Below are 13,287 nucleotides of genomic sequence, written 5' to 3'. Positions count from 1 at the left end.
GAGTTTGCTAGAGGTCCACTCCAGACCCTCTTTGCCTGGGTATCACCAGCAGAGGCTGCAGAACAGCAAATATTGCAGAACAGCAGATGTTGCTGCCTGATACTTCCTCTGGAAGCTTTGTCTCAGAGGGGCACCTGGCTGTATGAGGTGTCAGTCGGCCCCTACTGGGAGGTGTCTCCCAGTTAGTCTACTCGGGGGTCAGGGACCCACTTGAGGAGGCAGTCTGTCCGTTCTCAGATCTCAAACTCCATGCTGGGAGAACCACTACTCTCTTCAAAGCTCAGTTAGAAATGCAGAAATCATTCGTCTTCTGCATTGCTCACGCTGGGAGCTGTAGACTGGAGCTGTTCCTATTCGGCCATCTTAGAACCTCCAGGAAACAGTTTTCATATGTAGTCTTTTTTGACCTTGGGCCTTTTTCTCCCCTCCACAAAACACCTAATCACTTCTCACTTGGGATACAAGTCATCCATAGATCAGCTTGAAAAATGCTGCTCTGTAATCTACCAGGTTTATTAATATCCAGCCTAAGGTGTGTTATCTAGTAAAGAACACAATACTCTGGATGCTTTCAAGCTATCTCACAGAACAACAGGACTATCACCTCTCCCATTTTACACATCACACTTCCATTAATGTAACCTAAAAATAAAATTGGCCTATTTGGTGATGGCATTGCCCACTTGGCTTACCTTAATGCTTTTTGATCAATTAAAATCTAGTAGATTATTTTTTTTACAACCATTGACCAGCCAATCTCCTCAATCCTATGTATCCTAGTATTTATTTTTGGAGACAAATGCAAGAATTTCTATTTATCCGTATTAAATTTCACCTTATATATTATACTCTAATAACTCCAAGCCACATAAAGCTTTCTATTTCTTTTATTCAATGTATTGACTATAATTTTTATCTGTATCATTGAATCATGTCTTCTATGTCTTTATTTTTAGTATAATTATTTAAGGACAAAGCCTGATATTAGCCATTAGAGACTATATCAGTGTTTTATATTGACCTACTAAACAAAATCTTTGGATATATTTTAACCAGTTAAGAAGCCATATAAATATTCTCTAATCTATTTAATTTTTCCATGTAGCATAATGGACACATGATATAGTCTGTCAGTGCCTTGATGAAATTCAGATACACAATGTCAACAGCTTCTCTCTTTGATGTGAAATGTGTGGCAATTTTGTTTTCCATAAAAGTTAGGCTTGGCATAATTTGTTTTTAGTGAATCCATGGTAGCTCCTGCTAATAATTATCTGTTTTTCCAAAGCTTACGTATTTTTGTTTACCAGTCTGACCCAGAATTTTACTGCTGATTGATATTGATATTAGCCTTAATAAAGAAAGTATTCTATATAACTAATTAAGCCTATCTTCCCAAGCTATTGATAATGACACAGCACAGTTAAAGTAAGAACATTCTTTTTGGCATTGGGATAATTTTCCAGCCTCTCTGTTGTCTGATTCCACCAACAAATAAATGAGCTTCATGACTTCCATCACTGCCACAGGGATGTTGATGGATTAAATCATTAATTAATTCATTTATTAAGTTCCTTTAATAAGGCAGATACTCTGCTAAGTGCTCTGGGGATGTAAGGTTGGATAAGACATAGTGTTTTTCTTAAAATCATATAAATTAGAAATAGTAGCTCAATGAGACAAAGGGCTAGTTTCCAAAGCTAAGCTGTTTGAATTATGTTAAGGGAAACAAACGTATCCTTGGTCTCTTAAGAGTTTCTTTGTTCTATTTTCTCTAAATACAGATTTTATGCCCAGGTAGACTCTGTGTTTTAGGTTCCTCAAAAAAGACCAGTGTAAATGTAAACAGTATTAAGCACACAAGCATGATTAGAGAAAAGGTTGGTGTTAATATTTTTTTAACAGAAAGCAATTACAGTTTAATCCTCTCATTACAAAAGTTGCTTCAAAGAATGTGAAGAAAAGAATATATCTGATAATATATTACTCATTTATAAGCTGCTACTAGTGCAGAAGGAATTCTTTCTTTAATTGGAAGAAAAAACAAAGAGATTCCCAGGATCCTTGTTACCCTTCATGAATGCTGGCAGGGCACTTTCACATCCATTTAGTCCTTACTTTTATGTAATATTCTGTTCTCAAAACATTGCTGGGAAAGTGAGAAGGTTATAGATGGTAAAACTCAGGGTCATAGCAGAGAGGAAACTTTCCCGTTCAAGGAATAGAACATTGGCCTCTTGAATTCCAGTCCAGGGTGTTTACTGATCCCCCGCTGCTACTTGTACTAGAACTGACATTCAAAATGAAGTAAAAAATAAAAGTAAGACAGATTAAACAAACAAAAAAACATGCTCAGAATGGCTATGAGTGCAACACTGAATGATATCCCACTCCAAAGAATTCGGTAGTGGTTGATGGAGACAAAGCCATTAAGATGACTTTAATTAAGAGTTGACTTTGAGGCTGGGTGCATTGGCTCACGCCTATAATCCCAGCACTTTGAGAGGCTGAGGCAGGCAGATCACGAGATCAAGAGATCAAGACCGTCCTGACCAACATGGTGAAACCCCGTCTCTACTAAAAATACAAAAATTAGCTGGGCATGGTGGTGCGCGCCTGTAGTCCCAGCTACTCAGGAGGCTGAGGCAGGAGAATCGCTTGAACCTGGGAGGCGGAGGTTGCAGTGAGCCGAGATTGCGCCACTGCACTCCAGCCTGGTGACAGAGCAAGACTTTGTCTCAAAAAAAAAAAAAAAAAAAAAAAAAAAGAGTAGACTTTGGCCTGGTGCAGTGGCTCACACCTGTAATCCCAGCACTTTGGGTGGCCAGAGTGGGTGGATCACCTGAGGTCAGGAGTTCGAGACCAACCTGACCAACATGGTGAAACCCCATTTTTACTAAAAATACAAAAATTATCTGGGTGTGGTAGTGTGCACCTGTAATCCCAGCTACTGGGGAGGCTGAGGCAGGAGAATTGCTTCAACCCGGGAGGCAGAAGTTTCAATGAGCCGAGATCGTGCCATTGCACTCCAGCCTAGGCAACAAGAGCAAAACTCCATCTCAAAAAAAAAAAAAAGAGTTGACTTTATTTATTTTAAATTATTTATTGTGGTGAAATTCACATAACATAAAAAGGTAACCATTTTACGGGAACAATTCAGTGGCATTTAGTACATGTTCACAGTGTTAGGCTACCACAACTTCTGTCTAGTTCCAAATCATTTCCATCCCTCCAAAGTAAAACCCCTTATCCATTAAGCAGTTTACCCCTGTTTCTCCTCTTCTCAGCCCCTGGCAACCATGAATTTGCATTCTCTATGTCCTCACCCATTCTGAATATTTCGTATAGATGAAATCATACAATATGTGGCCTTTTGTGTCTGCTTTCTTTGATTTAGCAAGATATATTGGAGGTACATCCATGTATCAGTACATGTATCAGTATGTCATTCTTTTTTATGAATGAATAATATTCTATTGTATGGATAAACCACAATTTGTTTATCTGTTTATTCATTCATAAACATTTGAGGTGCTTCCATTTTTTGCTAATGTAAATTGTATTGCTGTAAACATTTATGTATAAGCTTTTGTTTGAACACCTGTTTTCAGGTTTTATACCTAGGAGTGGAATTGTGGGGTCATGTAGCAATTCTATGATTAAATGTTTGAGAAACTTTTAAATTGTTTTACTTTATTTTTTGATGGAGAGGAGAGGAGTGGCGGGGAGAAGAGAGGAGAGAGTAGGGAAGGACAGGGAGGAAAGGAATTCAGCATGTTTGACATGAAGGTCTGTGTACTTTGTATAACCCCAATATTTGTCATTGAAAACTGTGAGGAGGGTTCTCTTGCACAAACACCTAACTAGGAAAACGGAGAAATGTTCATGGACATTTGCGAAATCACTGATTGGTGGAGAGGGATGCTACATAGCAACAGAAAGACTGCAGTCTTTTGTTACTACTTTGTTTCACTTTCTGCCCAAGAGATCCAATTAAATTAATGCCTAAAATCAATCTCCAAAGAGTAGGTTTGAATCTGGAATTAGACCGAAGGGATGCCTGAGGACTAATCAAGGAAGTCATATGACAACAGTCTTTTCCAAGGGCCCTCAGCACTCACAATGATGCCCATGAGACTTCAATACAGTGGTGCTCATATTTTGATGCACTAAATTCGATTTTGTGCACTGATTTTGATGCACATTGGAATTCCCTGATGATCTTTAAAAAATATTGATTCCCTGTATTTTACCGTAATAAAAAGCACTGATTCTTGGACTTTACCCACAGATGTTCTGATTTGACTGGTGGAACTAGGACAATCAGAAGATTTAAAAGCTCCCCATGTGAGTCTAATATGTAGCCAAGTTTGGGAATCATTGCTTTAACCTATGTGAGGTTATTTAACCGTATGTGAGGCCCTGCTTGCTGAAGTGACAGGAAGATGTTTTATCTTTACCCTATCTTTTCCTTCTTATTCTCCACCTTGAATCATCCAATTTTATTCAACCATGTCTTAATGTCTATAGCAGAGAAGATTCTGGAACATATAAAAATAAAACAATTTGTGATCAAATAGATTACCAGGTATTCAAAGGGTAAACAAATGGGACCATAAAATAATCAGGCAACAGAGAAAAAAATGTTTTTTGTTTATTTTAGCATGTTTATTTTTGGCCCAAGCCTTTATCAGGTTGGAGTTGGAGGCTGGGGAGGAAGAATAACAAAGCATTGAGGATATGGAGCTCTGAGAAGTTTGATCCCTCCTCTGTGTGATTAATGTTAAGAAAGACCAAATCAAGGTAACTTTAAAGCAGATATGCTGGATATCCTTCCATTTGTATACCTACCTATCCATCTTTATTTTTTTTGTTTTTTAGATTTTTTATTTCCATAGGCTTTGGGGGAACAGGTGGTATTTTGTTACATGAGTAAGTTCTTTAGTGGTGATTTGTGAGATTTTGGTGCACCCATCACCTGAGCAGTATACACTCAACCCCATTTGTAGTCTTTTATTCCTCACTCCCTTCCACCCTTTCCCCTGAGTCCTCAAAGTTCATTGTATCATTCTTACACCTTTGCATCCTCATAGTTTAGCTCCCATTTATGAGTGAGAACATACGATGTTTGGTTTTCCATTCCTGAGTTACTTCACTGAGAATGATAGTCTCCAGGTCTATCCAGGTTGTTGAGAATGCCATTAATTTGTTCCTTTTATGGCTGAGTAGTATTCCATAGTATATGTATATACGACAATTTCTTTATCCACTTATTGATTGCTGGGCATTTGGGCTGGTTCCATATTTTTGCAATTGTGAGTTGTGCTGCTATAAACATGCGTGTGCAAGTGTCTCCTTCATATAATGACTTCTTTTTTTCTGGGTAGATATCCAGTAGTGGGATTGCTGGATAAAATGGTAGTTCTACTTTTAGTTCTTTAAGGAATCTCCACACTATTTACCATAGTGGCTGTACTAGTTTATATTCCCACCAGCAGTGTAGAAGTGTGCCCTTTTCACTGCATCTATGCCAACGTCTTTTTTTTTATGTTTTTGATTATGGCCATCCTTTCAGGAGCTAGGTGGTATCACATTGTGGATTTTATTTGCATTTCCCTGATCATTAGTGATGTTGAGCATTTTTTCATGTTTGTTGGCCATTTGTATATCTTCTTTTGAGAATTGTCTATTCATGTCCTTAGCCTACTTTTTGATGCAATTGTTTGTTTTTTTCTTGCTATTTTTTTAATTCATTATAGATTCTGGATATAAGTCCTTTGTCAGATGTATAGATTTGTGAAGATTTTCTCCTAGTCTGTGGGTTGTCTGTTTACTCTACTGACTGTCCCTTTTACCGTACAGATCTCTAGGTTAATTAAGTCCCACCTATTTATCTTTTGTTTTTGTTACATTTGCTTTTGGGTTCTTAGTCATAAAGGCTTTGCCTAAGCCAATGTCTGAGGTTTTTTTCTGATGTCATCTTTCAGAATTTTTGTAGTTTCAGGTCTTAGATTTAAGTCCTTAATCCATGTTGAGTTGATTTTCCTATAAGGTGAGAGATGAGGACCGAGTTTCATTCTCCTACATGTGGCTTGCCAGTTGTCCCAGAAGCATTTGTTGAATAGAGTGTCCTTTCCCCATTTTATGTTTTTGCTTGCTTTGTGGAAGATCAGTTGGCTGTAAGTATTTAAGTTTATTTCTGGGTTCTCTATTTTGTCCCATTGGTCTCCGTGCTTATTTTTATACCAGTACCATGCTGTTTTGGTGACTATGGCCTTATAGTATAGTTTGAAGTCAAGTAATGTGATGCCACCAGATTTGTTCTTTTTGCTTAGCCTTGCTTTGGCTATGTGGGCTCTTTTTTGGTTCCATATGAATTTTAGGATTGCTTTTTCTAGTTCTGTGAAGAATGGTGGTGGTACATTGATGGGAATTGCATTACATTTGTTGATTGGTTTTGGCAATATGGTCATTTTCACAATATTGATTCTACCCATCTATAAGCATGGGCTGTGTTTCTCTTTGTTTACAGTCTTCTTGGCATATGATCATATTAGCAAACAGTAACAGTTTGACTTCCTCTTTACCGATTTTGATGCTCTTTATTCCATTCTTGTGTCGGCTCTGGCTAGGACTTCTGGTACTATGTTAAATAGAAGTGGTGAGAATGGGCATCCTTGTCTTGTTCCAGTTCTCAGAGGGAATGCTTTCAACTTTTCTCCGTTTAGTATTATTTTGGCTGTGGGTTTGTCATTGATGGCTTTTATTACATTGAGGTATGCTGACTTTGCTGAGGGTTTTAATCAGAAAGGGATGCTGGATTTTGTCAAGTGCTCTTCCCGCATAAATAAAGACACTTTTTCTGCATCTATTGAGATGATCATGTGATTTTTGTTTTTAATTCTGTTTATGTGGTGTATCACATTTATTGACTTGCATGTGTTAAATCATCCCTGCATCCCTGGTATGAAACCCACTTGATCATGGTGGATTACCTTTTTGATAAGCTGTTGGATTTGGTTAGCTAGTATTTTGTTAGGGATTTTTGCATCTATGTTCATCATGGATATTGGTCTGTAGTTTTCTTTTTTTGTTATGTCCTCTTCTGGTTTTTGTATTAGGGTGTTACTGGCTTCATAGAATGATTTAGGGAGGATTCCCTGTTTCTCTATCTTGTTAAATAGTGTCAATAGGATTGGTACCAATTCTACTTTGAATGTCTGATAGAATTCAGCTGTGAATTGGTCTGGTCCTGGGTTTTTATGGTTTTTTTGTTTGGTAATTTTTTTAAATTAACATTTCAATCTCACTGCTTGTTATTGGTCTGTTCAGGGTTTCTAATTCTTCCTGATTTAAGGTAGGAGGGTTGTATGTTTCCAGGAATTTATCCATCTCTTCTAGGTTTTCTAGATTATGCAGGTAAAGGTGTTCATACTAGCTTTAAATGATCTTTTGTATTTCTGTGGTGTCAGCTGTAATATCTCCCATTTCATTTCTAATTGAGCTTATTCGGATCTTCTCTCTTCTTTTTTTGGTTAATCTTGCTAATGATCTATCAATTTTGTGTATCTGTTCAAAGAACAGGCTTTTTGTTTCATTTATCTTTTTATTGTTTCTTTTTTGTTTCAATTTCATAGTCTGCTCTAATCTTGGTTATTTCTTTTCTTCTGCTGGGTTTAGGTTTGGTCCGTTATTTCTCTGGATCCTTGAGGTGTGACCTTTGATTGTCTATTTGTGCTCTTTCAGACTTTTTGATGTAGGCATTTAAGGCTATGAACTTTCCTCTTAGCACTGCTTTTGCCGTATCCCAGAGGTTTTGATAGGTTGTGTCACTATTATCATTCAGTTCAAATAATTTTTAAATGTCCATCTTGATTTCATTGTTGACCCAATGATTATTGATGAGCAGGTTATTCAATTTCCATGTATTAGCATGGTTTTGAAGGTTCCTTTTGGAGTTGATTTACAATTTTATTCCACTGTGGTCTGAGAGAGTACTTGATATAATTTCAATTTTCTTAAATTTATGGAGACTTATTTTATGTCCTATCATATGGTCTATCTTGGAGAAAATTCCATGTGCTGATAAATAGAATGTTTATTCTGTGTTTGTTGAGTGGAATGTTTTGTAAATATCTGTTAAGTCCATTTTTTCTTGGGTATAGTTTAAATCCATTGTTTCTATGTTGACTTGGTCTTGATGACCTGTCTAGTGCTGTCAGTGGAGTATTGAAGTCCCTCACTATTATTGTGTTACTATCTATCTCATTTCTTAGGTCTAGTAGTAATCGTTTTATAAATTTGGGAGCTCCAGTGTTAGGTGCATATATATTTAGGTTTGTGACATTTTACTCTTGGACAAGGCCTTTTATCATTATATAATGTCCCTCTTTGACTTTTGTAACTGCTGTTGCTTTAAAATTTGTTTGTCTGATGTAAGAATAGCTACTCCTGCTCACTTTTGGTGTCAATTTGCAAACTCCTTATTTGTTAGGTGAGTCTCTTGAGGGCAGCAGATACTTGGTTGGTGAATTCTTATCCATTTCAATTCTGTATCTTTTAAGTGGAGCATGCAGGCCATTTACATTCAACATTAGTATTGATATGTGAGCTACTATTCCAATCATTGTGCTATTTGTTGCCTGAATACATGGTTTTTTAATTGTGTTTTTGTTTTATAGGTCCTGTGAGACTCATGCTTTAAAGAGGTTCTGTTTTGACATATTTCTGGGATTTGTTTCAAGATTCAGAGGTCCTTTTAGCTTTTCTTGTAGTGCTGGCTTGGTAATGGTGAATTATCTCAGCATTTGTTTGTCTGAAAGAGACTGTATCTTTCCTTCATTTATGAAGCTTAGTTTCACTGGATACAAAATTCTTGGCTGATAATTGTTTTGTTTAAGGAGGCTGAAGCGAGGGCCCCAATCCTTTCTAGCTTGTAGGGTTTCTGCTGAGAAATCTGCTCTTAATTTGATAGGTTTTCCTTTATAGGTTACCTGGTGCTTTTGCCTCACAGCTCTTAAGATTCTCTCCTTTGTCTTCACTTTAGATAACCTGATGACTATGTGCCTAGGTGATGATCTTTTTGTGATGAATTTCCAAGGAGTTCTTTGAGCTTATTGTGTTTGGATGTCTAGATCTCTAGCAAGGCTGGGGAAGTTTTCCTTGATTATTCCCCCAAATATGCTTTCCAAACTTTTAAATTTCTTTTCTTCCTCAGGAATGGCAATTATTCTTAGGTTTGTTCGTTTAACATAATCCCAAACTTCTTGGAGTCTTTGTTCATTAGTTTTAATTCTTTTTTCTTTGTGTTTGTTGGATTGGGTTATTTCAAAAACTATGTTTTTGAGCTCTGAAGTGCTTTCTTCTGCTTTTTCTGTTCTATTGCTGAGACTTTTCAGTACAGTTTGCATTTCTCTAAGTCCTGTGATGTGAACTGTCTTCAGGTCTCTCAGTCATGGATGCCTGCACCTGCTCCAGTGGAGGTGGCAGCGGAGTGAAATGGATTCTGTGAGGACCCTTAGTTGTAGTTGTTTAACACACTAATTTTGTGCTGGTTGGTCTCCTGCCAGGAGGTGTTGCTTTCAAGAGAGCATCAGTTGTGGTAGTACAGGAGAGGATCATGTGGTGGGGGGGGGGGGGGTCGGGGGGCGGGCCTAAAACTCCCAAGAGAATATGACCTTTGTCTTCAGCTACCAGGGTGGGAAGGGAAGGACCATCAGCTGGGGGCAGGGTTAGGTGTGTCTGAGCTCAGACTCTCCTTGGGTGGTGCTTGCTGTGGCTGCTGTGGGGGATGGAGGTATGGTTCCCACGTCAATGGAGTCATGTTTCCAGGAGGATTATGGCTGCCTCTGCTGTATCATGCAGGTTGTCAGGGAAGTGGGGGACAGCCAGCAGTTACAGGCCTCACCCAGCTCCCTTGCAACCCAACAGGCCAGTCTCACTCCTACCGTGCTCCCACAAATGGCACCGAGTTTGTTTCCAGACAGTGGGTGAGCAAGGCTGAGAACTTGTCTCAGGCTACCAGCTTCCCAGCTGAGAAAGCAAGCAGGGCTTTCACGCCTCCTCACCTGTCGAATCTGCACACCAGATTCATGCCTTCCCCTGAGTTCTGGCCAGGAAACTTCACGTTTGGATGGAATTGTTACAAAGTTCAGCTGGGGGTTTCCTTCTCCCTGTGGTATTTTCCCAATTTCTCTGGCAGCCCTCCCCAAAGACCTCTGTGAGACAAGTCAGAAATGGCTTTCCTGAGGACTCAGAGAGCCCACAGGACTTCCCGCTGCTTCCTCTACCCCTGTATTTTGCGTGGCTCTCTAAATTGTCTCAGCTCCAGGTAAGGTCAAATCCTTCTCCCATGATCTGGACCTTCAGGTTCCTCAGTGAGGGTGTGTGTTTGGGGGCAGATGATCCCCCTTTCTCACTTTCACAGTTTGGGCACTAACAGTATTCCGGCTGTCTCCCGGGTCCTGCAGGAGCAATCTGCTTCCTTCAAAAGGTCTGTGGGTTCTCTCAGCTTTCCTGGTATATTCCTGCAGTAGTTCTTGGACCAGAAGTTCATGGTGCGAGTCTCCACATGCTGCTCTGTCTGCCCGAGTGGGAACTGCAATTTGGTCCTGCCTCCTATCCACCATTTTTTTTCCTAGAAAAAAAATCTTTTTATTCAACACATTTTTTGATTACCAGCTATGTGCCAACCATTGTACTTAATGTAGAGGTTAGCTTGGTAAATAAAATGGCCAAAAATTTCTACTTCATGATATTTGCAATCTGGCATGTGAGACAGACAAACATTAAAGAAATAATCATACAATTTCTAACTATAAACTGTGACGTGAAATAGAATAACAGTAATACCTAATTCAGATTTAGGAAAAACAGAGAGAATGCCTCTCTGACGAAGTGCCATTTAAGCCAAGACATAAAGAGTGAGTGAGAGTTCACCAGACAGAGCTTTCCAGGTGGAGGGAATAGCACATGTGACAAATCTGAGATGATAATGGCCTTGTTACATTCCAGAGACAAAGAAACAAAAACAACCAGTTGGGATGGGCTGTAGAAAGGACATGAAATTAGAGGGGTAGGCAGAAGCCAGATCATGTGGGAATTATACGGCTTGGTAAAGACTTGAGTTTTATTCAAATTATGTTATGAAGCCATCAGAAGGTTTTAACACAGGGAAGTGATAAGATCTTACTTACTCTTAAAATAAGATTTTATTCTAGAAAATGGACAACTTGACAGTTTCCTTTATTTATCCAATTCAGCAATTATTTATTGTTCTGTTGTTTTATTGGGTTCTGGGTGGGTACAAATGAGCAATATATGATTCCTGCCCTCAAGAAGCTAAATGTAGTTGACAAGGCAGAACTCTGAAAACATAAAATTATGATAGGGTGTGATAAATGCAACAGGAGAAGTATGTATGTGGCACTGAGAGAAAAAAGACAAATACTCTGATTGTGTTAGCAGTTGGTGGGTCGACGTGTCATGTAGCAGGGAAGTCCTGGTGTGCTTGGATGTGGTCAGATAAATGAGCCCGTCTGAATGAACTGTTAGTCATACTTTTGACCTCATGATATCTTCCTTTCCTGGGACTCATTGCATCCTGGGCAAGGAGCTTGATTATGATGGTCCTGTGTTCCCTGCTGGAATCTTAAATAGTGTTAATGACCATCTTCCTGGGTAAGACTGCCAACCAGGTTCCTCAGTGCTTATTTGAAACCTAGGAATGGGTCTCAGCTGACCAGACCACTTATCGAAAGGAAAGACACCTCTCTTCATCCCCCCAACTTTAGCACAAACACCATAAAGACAGCCTGCACTGTGTTCCTCTGTGAGCCTAGAGCTCAAGTTCTACTGATGCAAATATATCTGAAGGGGAAAGGATGTGGTTTTAGCATAACCAGTACATTTCTCAGGCAGTCGCTGCAGCAGAAATAGCAATAAATAGCAGTAGGGATGATGGCAGATATTAGAGCCAAAAATGCCAGTTTCAGTTCCAGCAATTACATTCAGGTAATTTCTAGCTAGAGTAAAGTCAAGGCCAGTAATGGAGGTACTGGAAATAGCATTTCCTTAAAAACCTGAGAGAACATACAGCTAGTATCTGTGCTGAGCGCAGACTGGGCAGACCTGGCTTGTAGGCTGCAGAATGTGGAGTCCAGGGATAACAGATTTGAGAGGCAAATGGTGCAACTTAAGCACCAATATAAAGGGACTGAACATAAAGGCACAGACTAATTATAAGGCAACAAGATGCAAAGAAAACTCACCAGACAGGGGTAACTGAGAGGTGCTTTGAGACACTGGGAAGTGAAAGGGAATTGTTAACATCTTAGATTAGTGATCCCCAAACTTTGCTGATCATGAAAATCATCTAGAAGGCTTGCAGAAACCTGAATTCCAGGGTTCCATTAAGACCACCAAATCAGTATTTCTGGGACTAAAGCTGTCAATCCATATTTTTTTCAGAATTTTACATTTTTATTTAATGTATGGATATTTTTATACATTTTATTTATTTATTTTTCCTTCCAACTTTTAGGTTCAGGGAGTACATGTGCAGGTTTGTTACATAGACGAATTGCATCACAGTGGCTGAACTACTTTACATTCCCACCAGCACTGTATAAAGTTTACCTTATACAGTATATAATACCATCTCACACCAGTCGGAATGGCTATCTCATTGTGGCTTTGATTTGTATTTCTCCAATGATTAGTGATGTTGAGCATTTTTTCATATGCCTGTTGGTTGCATGTATGTTTTCTTTGAAGAAGTGTCTGTTCATGTCCTTTTCCCATTTTTTAATGGAGTTGTTTGATTCTTGCTTGTTGATTTGTTTGAATTCTGTATAGATTATGGAAATTAGATCTTTGTCAGATGTGTAGTTTGTGATTATTTTTCCCATTCTGTAGGCTGTCCATTTACATTTTTGATTCTTTTGCTGTGCAGAAGCTCATCAGTTTAATTAGGTATTATTTGTCAATTTTTGTTCTTGTTGCAATTGCTTTTAATTTCTTTGTCATGAAATATTTGCCAGGTCCTATGTCCAGAATGGTATTTCCCAGGTTTTCTTCAAGGGTCTTTATAGTTTTAGGTTTTAAATTTAAGTCTTTAATCTACCTTGAGTTGATTTTGTATATGGTGAAAAGAAAACGTATAGTTTCGATCTTCTGCATATGGCTAGCCAGTTATCCCAGCACAATTTATTAAATAAGGAGACTTTTCGCCATTGCTTGTTATTGTCAACTTTGTCAAATATCACATGGTTGTAGGTGTGTAGCTTT

At 38.6% G+C, this 13,287-nt stretch overlaps 1 protein-coding gene across 2 annotated transcripts in view; it reads left to right on the top strand.

The window, feature by feature from the left end:
- GABRA3 (gamma-aminobutyric acid type A receptor subunit alpha3) overlaps nucleotides 1–13,287 on the top strand; it is a 285,082-nt gene that overhangs the window by 125,704 nt on the left and 146,091 nt on the right. The gene's annotated exons all lie outside the window — the stretch shown is intronic.

This window comes from Homo sapiens, chromosome X (genome assembly GCF_000001405.40).
Source record: "Homo sapiens chromosome X, GRCh38.p14 Primary Assembly".
Lineage (NCBI taxonomy): Eukaryota > Metazoa > Chordata > Mammalia > Primates > Hominidae > Homo > Homo sapiens.
This window is presented reverse-complemented; position numbering and strand designations above follow the sequence as displayed.